This window comes from Homo sapiens, chromosome 13 (assembly GCF_000001405.40).
Source record: "Homo sapiens chromosome 13, GRCh38.p14 Primary Assembly".
Classification (NCBI taxonomy): domain Eukaryota; kingdom Metazoa; phylum Chordata; class Mammalia; order Primates; family Hominidae; genus Homo; species Homo sapiens.
Window position 1 is genome coordinate 97379797 of NC_000013.11, and position 17470 is coordinate 97397266.

General features: G+C 37.5%; 1 protein-coding gene across 55 annotated transcripts in view; it reads left to right on the plus strand.

Annotated features, from left to right (window-relative positions):
- MBNL2 (muscleblind like splicing regulator 2) overlaps positions 1–14324 on the plus strand; it is a 252287-nt gene extending 237963 nt beyond the window's left edge. For all 55 annotated transcript variants that reach the window (NM_001382649.1, NM_001382675.1, NM_001382656.1 and 52 more), the window contains one exon: positions 11526–14324. In NM_001382649.1, the coding sequence (NP_001369578.1) occupies positions 11526–11540 (15 nt within the window). In that variant the 3' untranslated portion in view covers positions 11541–14324. The remainder of the gene's footprint in view (positions 1–11525) is intronic.
- The last annotated feature ends 3146 nt before the right edge of the window (positions 14325–17470 follow it).

A 17470-nucleotide genomic window follows, 5' to 3' on the forward strand; every position in this document is an offset into this window, starting at 1 on the left:
GACATTCTGGAGATGGAGGGTGGTGATGGTGGCACAACCAGGTGAATGGAGTTAATGCCACTGAACTGTACGCTTCAAAATGGTGAAAATTGTGAGTTTTATGCTATGTCTATTTTGCCACAATTTTAAAAAATAGACAAAAGATCTGAGTGGTCATTTCTCCAAAGAAAGGATTAAGGAGTGACAAGGACAATGTCTGATTGGACCTAGGTTTTCATTTAATAAAATCTTATAGTATAAAATGGTTCTTCTTGCATTAAAAATTCTTTATGGCTGCCACATTTCCCTTTAAGAATTCTGTTTTCATAAGGTAAGGAACTGAGTGCAAAGACGTATTCTTTCTAAATGAAACCATGTCTGTGGCAACATATCTTTATATCTTCTCTCAACAAATGTACGCTAAGAACCCACCTTGAGCTGGGCGCAGTGGCTCATGCCTATAATTCCAACACTTTGGGAGGCTGAGGTGGGCGGATCACATGAGATCAGGAATTTGAGACCAGCCTGGCCAACATGGTGAAACCCCATCTCTACTAAAAATACAAAAATTAGCCAGGTGTGGTGGTGGGCATCTGTAATCCCAGCTACTCGGGAGGCTGAGACAGGACAATCGCTTGGACCTGGGAGGCAGAGGTTGCAGTGAGCCAAGATTGCGCCTTTGCACTCCAGCCTGGGCAACAGAGCAAGACTCTAGCAAAACCAAACAAACAAACAAAAAAAAACCACACCCACCTTGAGCCATGTACAGTTCAGAATTGTGGGAATACAGCAATGAAAACAGTAGTTCCTGCTCTCATGGGTCTTACATGGTGAGGGGGACAGGCGATACACAAATGTACAAATAATTACAGTCAGAGTCCTTATCATATGAGAAGGGTCATCTCAGAAAGTAAATGGTGATGCTGAAAGAATGGGCCTCACCACCGAGCTTTAATGGGGGATGGTTAGTAATAAAGAAATACAAGATAATGTGGGAGCTCTCCTCCTCCTCTAAACATTTTCCTCCTTTGGTTTCCATTTTGCCGACGATTGGCTATTTTGGCACTTCCTGAGGGCTTACTGGGGAGGGCAGATGGTGACCTGGCTTAACTACTTACCGCACTGCAGAGGTGCCAGCGTGATACAAGCCAAGTGAGGAACTAAGGCTCGAAAGGGCACAAATCTGACTGGTGGCACAGACAAGCCTCCTGAAATTCCCCTCCAGTACTCTTTTTGATTTTTCCTTTGCACCTAGATTTTACACACAATTGAGTGGTTTTTGTTAACCTCTCTCTCTATCTCTCCCTCTCTGTCCCTCTCTTTCTCTCTCCCTCTCTCTGACACACACACACACACACACACCACACACAGGCAAAGAACTAAAAAGAAAAAAACACTAATTTTTTTGCTGGAAAATTTGTTATATGGCAGCAGCATCCCACCAGTTTGAGAAATGTGTAAGATGATGACGATACACAAAGACACATGTCCAAGTCCAGTACCTTACATTAATCTTACTGTTCCTTTTACTGCATTTTAGCATTTGGTTGCTTTTCTCCCTTTGATGCCTTGAAAGCCAATTCTTAGCAGGCTAAATTACACATTCTACTCCACTGTTAAAATGGGTACTGTGGCCAAAATGTGCCCAGGATTCTAAGTCCAACATAATGGTAATGGATACAAAAGCAGGGCATTGAGCAGGATTGGACATTTTATGTTAAATCCAACAAGATCTTGTTTCTGTGATTTTTCTTGACCTGAATCTTCAATTTATTACTGGGAGCAAAATCTCATTTTGAAAAAAACCCATATCATATATGAATGCTTTTGAAATTTCTTTTCTGTTGCTGCATAAATGAATTTTTTTGGAATTCCCTTGTTGCTTTAATTTTTTTAACTTTCACGTTTATTAAATTTTTATTTTTCACTCCTGAGTTGCCAGTTCCTGTTCTTTAAAATATTCCAGATATACTTATATCAACAATAACCATGAACAAAAATAGATATATTAGGAAAATATTTTCAATGTATACAACAAGGTAGGTCTTAATATTATGTTACATATTATATTAATTAATATTATGTAACATATTGTCTGCATATTACATATATTACATATTATGTTACATAATATTAAGACCTACCTTGGGAATACAGCAGTGAATACAGTGCTGATTTTTAAAGGTATAAAAATGTTTTCTCAGATTCTACTTTATGTCCAGGAGTCATCTTCAGTGAAGCAGCCTATTTAATCTCAGAGAGCCTCACTTCCTACACAACTTACTGTAAATATTTTAAACACTTTCAAATATTTTCTTAGTGTGTCCCACATATTATATATTTTTTCTTGATTTAGTAGAGGAATTTATCCTGCTTTAGTACACATACAGTCCCTAATTTTAAACATATTCAAAATTACCTTTGTCATTTGGTTTGAAATTCAGTTCTCCTACAGAGACAGCCATGGCCTTGGTGGTTAGATCTCTGGGCTGGCCTACAACCATTTTATTTAGTTTGTGGCATTTTTATAAGTAACACAGTGCTAAAGCATGGCCCAGGCCAAATGCCACTCATGTCTATGATGTTGCTATATCTTTGGGATTCAAGAAACATATCACCAAACCCCCAGATGTCCATGCAACAGAAAATAGAAAATTCCGTCACCTCCTCCACCTGCTGGAGCTGTGGAGGCGCCATAATCCCTGGTGAATTCCATGACTAGAATGTCATCCGGGGAAAGCCTGTGGAGTCGGAATGGGAAGTATGGTGTGGAATCACAAATGTTGGGTAAGGAATAGGAAGATAAAATCTCGGGCCTGCTTCTGGGTAGCCACCAGACCCATTCACACCACCTTCTTCCCCATTTCTCTTGATGCCATGGTTTCATCTGCCAACTATTTTTTTTTTTTTTTTTTTGAAAAGGGTGTCTCACTCTGTCACCGAGGCTGGAGTGCAGTGGCGCCATCTTGGCTCACCACAACCTCCAACCTCCGCCTCCCGGGTTCAAGTGATTCTCCTGCCTTAGCCTCACTTGGGCCATGCCTGGCTAATTTTTTTGTAGAGACAGGGTTTCACTTTTTTTTTCCTGGCTATCATGCAGTCCTTCCAATCTAGGGTTTTGTTTTGATTTTACCTTTTCTGGCACCTGCTGAGGAAACACAGTCGCATAACTCCCCTCCTTCTGAATAAATACACAGTGCTCTTGAATATGTCTTTGCTTAAAACACTTCTAGAACGCCAGCGGAAAGGGCCAGGAAAGAAAAGTCTCCTTCTCATGCCTCTTTACCTTCATCCTCATTTATATCATATAGGAGAAGAAAAGTGTTCACCCTTGGATGACATATGGGTTGTTAGATGGTCTGAGGACAAGATTCCCATCTCAGCATGAGAGCCACAGAAATGATCCTCAGAATTCCCCCAGGGGAGCTAGGATTGAAGGAGACTGTCTGGAGTCAGGGAGGGGATTATAATCAAAGCCTAACTGCAATACTCATAAGAACCTAGATGTTTTTACATGTGACATGGACTCATGCAAAGAGCAGAATCTTATTCAAAGTTGAGCATTCCCGTTTATGAATTTTATCCAGATACTCTAAGTTGTCAATGTGAACCCTGGTCAGTAATCTTCAGCGAGGACAGTATTATTGCTTTTCATGTAAAACGTCAATTATTAATAGTTTTAAATGACAATTTTTCTTTAGTATATCTAAAAATATTTTGTTCAAATATAATCAAGTGGAAAATATTGGACAGAAATGAGTCATCCACAAAAAGTATCATTGAAACTAGGGGAATTAGAGCTTTGAATATAAACTTTCTACTAAACAGCAGAGGACAAAACAATAATTCTGGCAAAACTCCTCTTGAAGGTGCTATGAAATATTACGGACATTACAACCTCAGTGTGCTCTTCTCCAGAGTAAAGCTGATTGTCATATTTGATAATTTTTCCCCAGGACCTCAGTGTATGCCTTTTCTGTGCAAATAAAACTACATTTTGAAAATAAGTCAAATATGGCATGACACTGCCCAACCTCCGAACAATATTCCCCCAGAATAATGAATCAGACTATTTTTAAGTGTCTTTTCATATACTACTGATGATCTCTGAGCTTTTTATATAATTAATTTTTTTTTTTTTTGAGCGGGAGTCTCGTCCTGTTGCCCAGGCTGGAGTGTGGTGGCGCAATCTTGGCTCACTGCAACCTCCACCTCCCAGGTTCAAGTGATTCTCCTGCCTCAACCTCCCAAGTAGCTGGGATTACAGGCGTGCACCACCACACCCAACTAATTTTTGTATTTTTAGTAGAGACAGGGTTTCAACCACGTTGGCCAGGCTGGTCTCGAACTCCTGACCTCAAGTGATCTGTCCACCTAGGCCTCCCAAAGTGCTGGGATTACAAGCATGAGCCACTGCACCCGGCCTATATTTAAAATTTTATAGTCATGAAATAGGCCAAAGAAAGTTCTTGAAAGTGTACATTTGTTAACATGTATAATTATAATTGCTTTAATTACTTTTTTATCTGATACCATATATTCACTAAGAGACTAAGACACTTCTTTTGACTTCAGTAATCCATACTGTGATTAAGTACTGAATTATACTGGAGTCAAAATGTACACATGTCCCTTTGCCTCTGTGCAGTTTGCTTCAACTGAAAGATCTCACAAGTGTAGCCTCTCAGGCAAGATCAGGGCATTTCAGACAGTCATGGCTGCTGTGGAGAAGAGGTGTGGGGCAGTGGGGAAAAGGTGGAGAGAATATTAAATGGTGCACAGACTAAAGGAGGAAGCAATGCTAACAGAGAGTGGGAAGAAGGAACTTGTGAGACAGAATCAGAAGAAAACACTGGATGAAGAAACACAGACTGGGAGGGTGAGCAACGTGCGAGCCTCCTTAGCTTAGCCCTATTTTTAGGAAATGCCAATTAATTGCCTATTTTTAAATTAATAATAAATTTTGTTTAAAGAGGCAGTGAAATATTATTAATATCTTTAACTGCCTTCTGGGGAAACAGGGCCTTGTAACCATGGCAAAAGATTTCTAAGAAACCTACCAAGTCTAGAAGGTTACTTTAGGTGAATTTTTATCTGCTGTATTTCCCTTCTCTGTGAGTGATTCTGCCCCCAGCCTGGAATATTTTCCCCTTTATCTATAATGGGGAGTAGGGAGAATGGGAGAATGGGGAGGGAATGTTTATTTCTCTTAGATATTTCTGAGTCCTTAACTACCCTAACAAGGTGCACAGATGACACATCTTGTGCAAAGGGTTCTTTTTCTGCCCCATTCCTGTTTCTCCCATGAATGGTCTGGTGGTCTTCTGTTGATGCCAGCATTGTGGCACTGTGTCTTCAATGACTTCAATTTATTTAGCCATCCATGCAAGCAACAATTAATAAATTCCCAGCCCTATCCTAGATACTGGGGCTATAAAGATGAATGAGACAGTCCCCCTGTCCTTAAAGAGCTTGGTTTGGCTGTGGACCCAGTTAGTGCACCAGCCCTGCTTGGAAGTACCCACTTGAGATTCCATGTTAGTGACATCAAGATGCATTGAGATTCCTTAGTAGTTTAGCAAGGCTGCACAAATATGTTATAAGGTATTTTTTATCTATGCCATCCAAACTCAACATTACAAAGACAGTCCTAATGGCTATTCACAGGAAGACTGAACCAAAACATCCATTATTTCTCTTTTCTAATTGCTTGATGACTTGCATATATGGAAATTCTTGGCATTTTCACTGGAATGTTTTCCTATCAATTAAGCAGAGCAGGAACAGTTCTTACCAAATTTAATATTGAGCTATCATTTTAAAAAATAACTCATCTGACATCCTTGAATCTTTGAAATGAGCACTTTTACATAAGAAGTATAAACACTTCTAGAAGTCACCTAGAAGCCCACAGTTTCCAAAGTTATACATACGTACAATTCCTGGAGATCAACCTCAAGGTAGAAAACCCAGAATGTATTAATACTTGGTACCTCTGAAATACTAAGGAAATTCTACGTTGATTTGTCTTCTCTTGCACCATTCTGCATGAGGACTGGTTAGTTCAGCTGTTAAGTTCATGGTGCTGATTAGTTCAAGTTCAGTGTTTCAGTCTCTGCAGAGACTATTTTGCTTTGAACCAAGTGTGTTTCTCACCCTGTTCAGCTCTTTTTTGAGCGCACATCATGAGTGACAGGTATGGATGGCTCAGCCTAAATCCATCATCACATGGCAGAGACAAGAAAACATGCATGTTTCATAACTGATGACTCAGTCAAGGGAGGGTTGGTATTTTCTTTTTAGGTAGAGGGTGCCTTGTTGGTCACATACTCTCTTTCTTTGGGCGAAAGCCAAATGTCTGAAAGTTGTAGGACTAACTCTCCTGTAAACCTGCTCTCCTGGTCTCACTCTTACCACTGCTGCCTGCCATGATGTTGCCTGTAGCGTTGGCTGATGCCAGCTCAGGAAGCCATCCAGACTTAGTGAATATAGTGGATATTGCCTTCAAGAAAGTAAAGCTGATGAGGACACAAACCAGCAGCTCTTAGCTGAATTTAGCCCAAAGATATATATGATCCTTCTGTGATGTGAATTCATTGCTGAATTTCCAGCTTCTTTTGGCAAATGAAAAGGTCAAGTAATATGGAGCCCATGTTTCCGCAGGTAGCACTTGGCTGGGGCTGAGTGGCTGTTGCCACACCCTCGACCTGGCCTATTCACTTACATATCTTTCCTGCCTGGCCCCAGGAGGCTTAGTATTAGACAGTACCTAATCTGGTCCACTTTTTAGTAAGGTTGGCTACCACTGCACTGTGAGTCAATGGCAGGCAATTCACTGAGGACACTATAATTATTAAATGGCTGCTCATAACATATTTGATAGAAAAATAACCCATTTGATGCTTTTGAAGCCATTCATGCTTTGTCTTCAACAAGTAAATATGAAACTAATCAGGTACTGGATTCACATTGGGGTAACTTGAGAACGTATATTGAGCAGAATCATCAGATTCTTAAATCCAACCACCTAGGGGAGACAGTTTAATTCACTTAATGTGATTTCCTTTCCTTATTGATAAGCAGACTCCATTGTAGCCAGCTGATATTTTTGCATCAGAGATACTCTTGTTCCACCCAGAGGGGCCACTGAAGATTTAGAAAAGTACTCATGATTTGAGATCAAGTGTATCTTTGCCTTAAAAACAGAATCACAGATACTGTGGGCATCAGCTATTCCTATTTTTGTCTGTTCTCCTTTTAGTGGAAAAAGGAATTGAAAATAATGCTTGCAGTTCAGAATTTTGATTTACCATACTAGATTAGCTAGAATCTTATTTAATAATTTAACTTCCTTCTCCTGTCATGGTGCTTTGTTATATAAAACACTACTTACTTGAGGCAATAGTCTCCCAGGGAGACAAATAGAAATATAGCTTGTTGAATATCTTTGATTTCTTTCCTACCGTCATAGTTTGCCAAGATTTCTCAGCAGCTGAGGCAGCGGCACTGTGGTGCGGTAGGGTGTTCTGATGCTATAAGCAGACACGTTTGCAACATCCATCTGGAGGAGCCCTGGGGCAGGATGTGGTTGACCACCCAGGCAAGGATGCCCTGAATGAGAGGCCCAGCAGCCTCACAGTCCCCCAGCAATTTCCACCCATCTAGCCCCTCCAAACAGTCTCACTGTCTCCCCTCTAAAGCTCCAAGTGCATTTGCTGTAGGTTCCACCCCAGGGCCTCGCCTTCCCCTGATTCCCAAGCTCACAGGGGTTCTTCTAAGCACCCTCTGAAGCAGGCTCCATGAGGCACAGCCATGCTCTTTGGAACCTCTGTGTCCCGTCGCCCTATCTCAGACCGTCCCCATGCCCTGGAGGGGATGCCTTCACCAATGAGCAGAGTGACATCTCCAAACTCATGCTGGTTTGTGCAAGCACTTTGTACATTGTGCAAGCCAGTTAAAATTATGCACGTCATCTTTTCCATGTCTGCAAAATATGATCACAATACTGACCTAGCTTGTAAGACTCTAGCTTGTAAATTCTCAGAGCCTCCTGAAAATCAAGGGGATATATCTTAAAATTCAAACAAAAACAAGGGTGCTTCAGAGAGGAGACTGGCAGGAGACCCCCAATGTGGTGGCTGTTTCTCTGACTTACGCATACCCTGGCAGACCCTATGAGTTTTCCACTTCCCTTTCAAGACAGCATGGGGTGCTGTGCCTTGGAGGTTGAGTAGGGAACTTTGGGCACCAGCTTTGACCAAATGCAGGACAGGAAAGAAGTGATGGACAGTTGGTCTGTTGAGCTCACTTTGGTGAACTGTATTTTAATTAGCATTTTAAGAAATGGAGAAGTTCAAAATTAAGGTTGATCCACATCAGATGAGTAGCCCATGTGCCAGGGCCACATATAAGCCTGGTATTTTAAGAAGGTATGTTTCTTATCTGTAATGAAATATTCAGGCACCCCATGAAGGTTTTGATCCTCCTGGCCACAAAACTACAATAAAGATGGAAAAAGTTTATACATATACATACATACATATATATATATATATATATATCATTGGTATGGGAGAAAATCTCTGAAAAGAGGTAACAGGAAAGCACACAAAATGTATCTATTCATCAAACATTAAATTATGTTTGTTTAGTGCTAAATCAACATATAATCTGAATAAAGAAAAGCCATGTTAAAAACTAGACAAGAGGTTCCTCTTTCTCTCAAAGCAGCTTCTCCTCTCCCTCCCGCCAGTCCCCACAAGCACACACACTTGGCTTTCCACTTTCCTCCTGTCCTGTGGGTGGTCTTCCGGCTAGATCTGTCCCACACTCCCCTGGGACTCTCGGGCCTGTAAGGTCCTGTGCCTCCTAACAACAGAAGTGCAATCAGATGGGTGCTAGTGATATGACAGGCCCTCAGTTGATAACTGTTCTTGATCTGTATCCCTGTTCTGTCTATATCTCCAGGGCATATTTCACCCCAGAGTACAGATAATACAGACTGTATCAGCAAGCTGTATTTCTCAGGAAAAAAAAATTTAATAATCAGAAGATATTTCCAAGAAAAATGCTGCCACCCAAAAATGGAACCTATAAGGAAAAACACCCAAAGCTTTCCCACCTTCTAAGATTAAATCTGTTGAACCTCTTGAAGTTCACAGATGCCAAGAGTGTGATTCGTTTTTTATACCAAATGACAGCCAAAGACAAAGACCAGGGGATGGCCAGAGTTTTCTGGCCTAGATGCCAGGCAGCAGTCACAGCTGAGAGTTCAATAGTCCCAGGGCTCATTTTTATTGATGTCTTTATTCATATAATAGCTCATCGGTAGACTGGGGCAGAGGGGAAGTGCAGTCTGGGTGAGACTAGTTTATGCTTTAGTTAGCTCCAAGACTGATTTACAGTCCAATTAAATTTCAGTGGTCATTTATGTCTGTTCGTCAAATACAAGTTCAAAGCCTTGCCATAGGTAACTTCCATAACCCACGTTTGCCCATTCTAATTTGCCATTGCTATGCTTTTCATAGAATACTTCTTTTCCAGATGGTTAGGAATTTCATTCTTTATAGCATTTCAATTTCAGCAAATAAGCAAGAATCTAAATGCATTCTAAAATACATATTATTATATATCAATTTAAGAAACTGGCTGGGTACAGTGGCTCACGCCTATAATCCAGCACTTTGGGAGTCTGAGGTGGAAGGATTTCTTGAGCCTAGGAGTTTGAGACAAGCCAGGGCAACACAGGAAGACCCCATCTCTACAAAAATAAAAATGGAAATTAGGCAGGCATGGTGGTGCGTGGTTGTAGTCCCAGCTACTCAGGAGGCTAAAGTGGGAGGATTGCTTGAGGCCAGGAATTCAAGGCTTCAGTGAGCTGTGATTACACCACTGCATTCCTAACTGGGCAACAGAGGGAGACCCTGTCTCAAAAAAAAAAGAAAGAAAGAAAGAAAGAAAGAAACTGCAATTTTTTTTCCAGAGTTATTTTAGAAACTTTTTTTTTAAAAGTAAAAGAAAAAGAAAAATCAGACATGATTTGATGGACTAGGGTGCGTTCTTATTTGGAAAACTTACAGATAGGCTTGAAACTAAGGGATGAAATCAAAACATTTCTATTTAATATCTAAATCTAGAAAATTTGAATATTACCTATTGGCAATGATAATATTCAAAGATAATAGTATTCAAATACTAGATGCTGTGTTTACATATAAAATAATATCTTATTAATTTTATTCATGTCTGTTAGTACACAAGACAAGGAATGCTATTTTTCCCAGTTAATTTTACATTCCTAGGAATATTTAAGAATCAAAGAATGACCTTATCTGAAGTTTTAAGTTTCCATTTACTATAAATATTTAATGTAAATTAGTTCTTTCTCTATTTTTATGAATTCTCTACACATCTGTCTGTTTCAATAAAATAAAGAATACTCATGTTTATTTCATGGGAGGAACATATACTAAAATTGTTGCATATAAAGTACAGGAGCACTCACTTAAAGGGAAAAAATATCCACGTGGAGAAATTATACATAACAGGATAATACAGTATGCTTAGGAAAATAAGGCTTTTGTTGGGAATTGAATCCTAGTGTGCAGAAGTATTAGCTGACTCTCATTATAAACAAATTTTACCAGTTATTTCCTAACAGACTCTTGTTTAATGAATAAACGCTTTGCTTATTAATTACACAAAATTTGGTCAAAGCATTAGAAAAGATTAAATAGTTTTGTTACGGTGTGTTAAAAACTTGGCTTTTAACCTTGACATTTAATGGATTGGACCACACGGGCCAAGTTCCTTCTCCTTTGCAAAGGTATGGAGCTGGAAATGAACTTAGAGATCAGACTCAAGGGACCACAGCTTGCACTTAATAGTTTACCTTTATCTGTGCTTTAGCTGTGCTTTTGGATGTATTAAGAACTTTTTAACTGCCTTAATAGACTGTTATCCCTTTTACTCTTTGATATGTGACATTTAAATATACCTTGAATTTGAACTGGTTGTCGTTATGTGTTGGGAACAAAATTACTTTTGATGGGAATACATTTTTGAATTAAAAATGCAAGTTAATAGATAAATAATATCTGATTATTATAGATTTTGAAATATTTATATTTAAGCCTTACAAATGACTTTTCAGTACAAACAAATTCTCTGATTAGACTTTCTGATCACCGTAGCAAATATGAATTGGACAATAATGTGAATGTATAATAAAGAGCTATAAAGCAAAAATTTTAAAAAGAAATTGTGGTCTAAACATGCATGCCTCTCTATATGCTGCCACAGTTTTCCAGAAAGTACTGTGCATTTGAATCATCTTTCTTTATAGTGGCCACATAGCAGAAGTGGTTAAGTGTAAAGTTTTTCAGCATGAAGGGCGGGTATTGTGCAAATTTATAATTGCATCAAAATAATGAGAGATTGAAGAAAACTCTGATTTTCAAATGTCTATTTTTGAAGAGTAAAACTTAAACTCATTATTTTTCCTCCCAGAAGGATACCTAAATCATGCTTGTCTTTCTCTTTAACAGATAATTCTGAAATAATCAGCAGAAACGGAATGGAATGCCAAGAATCTGCATTGAGAATAACTAAACATTGTTACTGTACATACTATCCTGTTTCCTCCTCAATAGAATTGCCACAAACTGCATGCTAAATAAAGATGTAGTTCTTCTGGACAGACCACAACTCTAAGAAGCTAGTGCTGCTATCTCATATATGAGTATTAAATATGGTATGCTTAGTATATTCCAACCTAAGATAGTTAACTACCTGAGACCAGCTGTGATGTTTAAAGACATAAAGGATAAAGTTTACTTTTAAAGGGTTTCTAAACATAGTTTCTGTCCTAGGAATATTGTCTTATCTCCATAACTATAGCTGATGCAGAAAGTCCAGCCAGTTTACTCATTTCGATTCAGAATATTTCAAATTTAGCAATAAACAATTAGCATTAGTTAAAAAAGAAACATATTCCAAGGGCAGGTTCGATTCTAGCTCTAATTACTGTCATGTCATTTACCCACTGGATCAAAGGGTATGTTTCACTTCTTGACAATATAAATGCTGCAGCAAAGATGAGAGGTGAAGTAAAACCGATACCTGTCCTGCAGGTCTAAAATTTGAATGGAAATTCAAGCACAAGTACTGGGGACACATCAAAGTGTGGTGTTTGGTTTGCCTGGAGATGCCACGTTGAATCATGTGATTCTAGATTAACATTAAATAGATTGAAAAAGAAACTTTGCACGGTATGAGCTTCATACCCCACCAAACAAAGTCTTGAAGGTATTATTTTACAAGTATATTTTTAAAGTTGTTTTATAAGAGAGACTTTGTAGAAGTGCCTAGATTTTGCCAGACTTCATCCAGCTTGACAAGATTGAGAGGCCCATGCCAACAGTCTAATCTAAGAGATTAGTCTTTCAAACTCACCATCCAGTTGCCTGTTACAGAATAACTCTTCTTAACTAAAAACCTAGTCAAACAAGGAAGCTGTAGGTGAGGAGATCTGTATAATATTCTAATTTAAGTAAGTTTGAGTTTAGTCACTGCAAATTTGACTGTGACTTTAATCTAAATTACTATGTAAACAAAAAGTAGATAGTTTCACTTTTTAAAAAATCCATTACTGTTTTGCATTTCAAAAGTTGGATTAAAGGGTTGTAACTGACTACAGCATGGAAAAAAATAGTTCTTTTAATTCTTTCACCTTAAAGCATATTTTATGTCTCAAAAGTATAAAAAACTTTAATACAAGTACATACATATTATATATACACATACATATATATACTATATATGGATGAAACATATTTTAATGTTGTTTACTTTTTTAAATACTTGGTTGATCTTCAAGGTAATAGCGATACAATTAAATTTTGTTCAGAAAGTTTGTTTTAAAGTTTATTTTAAGCACTATCGTACCAAATATTTCATATTTCACATTTTATATGTTGCACATAGCCTATACAGTACCTACATAGTTTTTAAATTATTGTTTAAAAAACAAAACAGCTGTTATAAATGAATATTATGTGTAATTGTTTCAAACATCCATTTTCTTTGTGAACATATTAGTGATTGAAGTATTTTGACTTTTGAGATTGAATGTAAAATATTTTAAATTTGGGATCATCGCCTGTTCTGAAAACTAGATGCACCAACCGTATCATTATTTGTTTGAGGAAAAAAAGAAATCTGCATTTTAATTCATGTTGGTCAAAGTCGAATTACTATCTATTTATCTTATATCGTAGATCTGATAACCCTATCTAAAAGAAAGTCACACGCTAAATGTATTCTTACATAGTGCTTGTATCGTTGCATTTGTTTTAATTTGTGGAAAAGTATTGTATCTAACTTGTATTACTTTGGTAGTTTCATCTTTATGTATTATTGATATTTGTAATTTTCTCAACTATAACAATGTAGTTACGCTACAACTTGCCTAAAACATTCAAACTTGTTTTCTTTTTTCTGTTTTTTTCTTTGTTAATTCATTTAAACTCATTGAAAACATAGTATACATTACTAAAAGGTAAATTATGGGAATCACTGAAATATTTTTGTAGATTAATTGTTGTAACATTGTCTTTCTTTTTTTTCTTTTGTTTCATGATTTTGATTTTTAAAATTATTAGCACACAACTATTTTCAGCCCTTTAATAATGGAGCATCAAAAACATCACCTGTAACCCCAAGCAAATATAGAAGACTGTATTTTTTACTATGATATCCATTTTCCAGAATTGTGATTACAATATGCAAAGAGTCATAAATATGCCATTTACAATAAGGAGGAGGCAAGGCAAATGCATAGATGTACAAATATATGTACAACAGATTTTGCTTTTTATTTATTTATAATGTAATTTTATAGAATAATTCTGGGATTTGAGAGGATCTAAAACTATTTTTCTGTATAAATATTATTTGCCAAAAGTTTGTTTATATTCAGAAGTCTGACTATGATGAATAAATCTTAAATGCTTTGTTTAATTAAAAAACAAAAATCACCAATATCCAAGACATGAAGATATCAGTTCAACAAATACTGTAGTTAAGAGACTAACTCTCCACTTGTATGGGAACTACATTTCACTCTTGGTTTTCAGGATATAACAGCACTTCACCGAAATATTCTTTCAGCCATACCACTGGTAACATTTCTACTAAATCTTTCTGTAACACTTAAAGAATTCCCTCATTCATTACCTTACAGTGTAAACAGGAGTCTAATTTGTATCAATACTATGTTTTGGTTGTAATATTCAGTTCACTCACCCAATGTACAACCAATGAAATAAAAGAAGCATTTAAAAGGATTGTATAGTCTTCCTTCTTTTTGTGTTGAGACAGATTGATAATTCACCAAACAAAATAGTTTTCACCTTCACACATACAGTATTTGTTAACTTCAAAGAAGACCAAACTCGGGTCTTCGAATGGAAAACTGATAGTTTTTGCTTTTGGCTTTGGCTTTTTAGCAGCAAGAAAAACAATTAAAAATGGTAATTTGAGAAGTATTTTTAGTATTCTTTAAAATTAGAAGTGAAAATAAAGCCCACCACTCAGCCCTCTTCTTCACATCTCAGACTGATAATGAAAAGATATGGGATCAATGGCATCAGTAACTAAATGGGAAACAAAATGTCAGTTTCATGAATAGATTAGATTTTAAAAAGGACCCATTAAGGTATAATAGAGGCTTCTGTAAGAGCTTGATGGGATAACATGAATCAGACCTGAGGCTGCAGAAAGAGATAGAATGGTGAGTTCTATTCTATGCAGAGGTCCTAGCTAGGTGGCTCAAGAATAGAACAGGAATTCAGCAAAGAGAGGGTGATGAGGGTCCCTGCTATTCTGTCAGTAAGCAGTCTCCTCCTAAGAGGTGGTGTGTGGGCAGAAGGAGCAACAGAAGCTCCTTCTTCAGCCTTTTGAGACCCACCATATTTGTCAAGGAAGGTGCTATTGGCCTTTTGGGTGGGAACACTCCTTGTCACACTGAGATTAGCAGAAATTGCCTTCTCTGTGGGCCAAGGCAGAAACATGAGTTTTCTCCATGGCAGATTTAAAGCTTCAGGCCTCCTGAGTGGTTATGATATAGCATAGAAAACACCCATATTCAGCAGATACAAATAAAGCTGCTTGTATTTTTTAACTATCCCATCAGGATTTCCAAGGCTAAAAATACTTTTAACACCTCTGTGGATATTTGAAAAAATGGCTATATATTTGGATGAGTGATTTTTGTACTGTAATGCAAAGGAAAACCTATCTCATCAGTCACTCCCTGCAAAAATCATTCTGTTAATAGTAAGTTCAAGATGTCAACTTCAGAGAGCAAGTTATTATTTTAAGTGAAAAATCTAAAACTGTAGTTCATGAAGTATAATTTCTATCAGTAGACTGGCTATTTATGGTACTACATCAAAATCAAAAACAAAACTTAAACCTCTCAGGATAAAAAACTATCTCTTCAGCATAGAAAATATTTGGGTATAAAATATCAATTATCTTATAATTATCTGACAAAAGAGAAGTGTCATTTCAGTTTTGGGCTCTCCAAATTTAAAATGATGTTTCAAATCAGAAATATACTCTTTATGATTAAAGTTCTATTGCAATGCCACAGATTTTAGGGGCAGCTAGGAAAACCAAAATAAAGTTCAATGTTCTGATATTTACAAAAAGACGGTAGTGGTTCCCTGCAGAATGATTTCTGCAGGGGCAACCCCCACCCCCTCTCCCCACCTCCAAAATATCCTAGGGTGTCTCTGAAATATTAGGCAATTTTTGCTGGACTGATTTATCTCCATAGAAATGACTGAGTCACTGTGAATAAGTATGATTCACACAGAATGAAACATAGTAATGATTCCCTCTATGCTCTTAGTTGGGGAGATAGATGGCAAGGATGGGAATGGGTGGAATTGAGAATGTTCACCAGGGACCTACTTATGTGCCAAGTTCTATGCTAAATATTCTATATATGTTTCTAACAAGCCCACCCTGTGTTGGAGAGAATTACTAACAACTGATAAGTGAATTCTGACTGATACAGAGATTCCTCTTCAACGTACATAGAGACTCTGCTGTGAGAAGCAACTTGCTTCTAGATCAACACTACTAGTGTCTGCCCTTAGGGTGACTAGCTGCCCGGCTCAGCTGAAAACCTCTGTCCAGTACGTGTCAAAGCTTTCACCAACTGGCTTGTGACTTCAGTTTCCTCCACTGTCAGCTACTTTGAAAAATGTCCACCCATTTGAGGTGTCCCTGTGGCACCCACCATGTAAATTGTATAAATGCTACTTGGCCTAAATTATAATGAAACAATTTCAGATATCCCATCAAATCTGGTGAAAACCCATATAGTTGTTCACATGAAATAAGGCATAAACAGAGAGTAACTGGTTTTGTTCACATACATTTTACGTAATCCTTAGGGTTACAAAGAATCTATTATACCTATAATGTAGATGAAAAAAATCAAGACTCATAAAAATTAAATAACTCTCGAAATCACATAGAGCAAACCCTGGCTTGCCCCAACTCTACAGCCAAGTTGAAATGAGCTTTATTTGTGGTAGCCTTCCAGTCAAAATTTCACTAAAAAATTCAGAGTGAAGCATTTATCCAGGTTTAAGTTGAAGTTATAAGAATCCTTTACTTGGTTACTTAAGATAAAGATATTCTTCCCTATCCCAAGAATATGATTTAGGAAATATTTTGAAACTATGGGCTACAAAGTACTCTGCCAGATTTAGGACATGGCCCAATTCTTTATTCGGACCGGAGGCAATAGAAGAAATGTTACATTGTACCATTACTCCAGTGTTACCCAGAGTTTTTTTGTTTGTTTGCTTGTTTGTTTATCGAGCTTCTATGTGGTTCTCCTGAAATAAAATATATAATGATGGTCATTGAATTTCTCCTAATAATAATGTGGCATCAAGTCATGATGCAGTTAGTCACGTGGAGGCAGCACGTGAAAAGATAGAACTTGAAAGTCTAGGGAAAAGAGACAGAGAGAATAAATTTCTGCATAAAGGCCACACATGAATGTGTACCCCTAAAATCCAACTGCATCCAGAGAGGCTGAGAAATTGAATGTTACTATTGTTGATCCCTTTCTCTCATAACTTTTCTGTGGGTTTTTCCAATTCTTTGTTTTATATAAATGAAGGAAGAGATTTATATTTGTCCTTGTGTGTAAACTAAAATGATCTAAATCAGAGCAGTCTAACTTTTCTTTTGCTAGAGAACATCTCCTTCCAACAAAAGGTCACCCTACAAAAGTCCACAAGCCAAATCGTAGCAAAGTGCTCCTGTTGCAAGGAGGTCTCTTTCCTGAGATCCGTGAATAAGCTCTGCAGTCCAGAGATGGAAACCCATGCATTTAATGTAAAATGTGTGGCTTTACAGAGGGAGAGAAATGTATTCAAAGTAGCGTGACAGCTTAGAAAAGCTG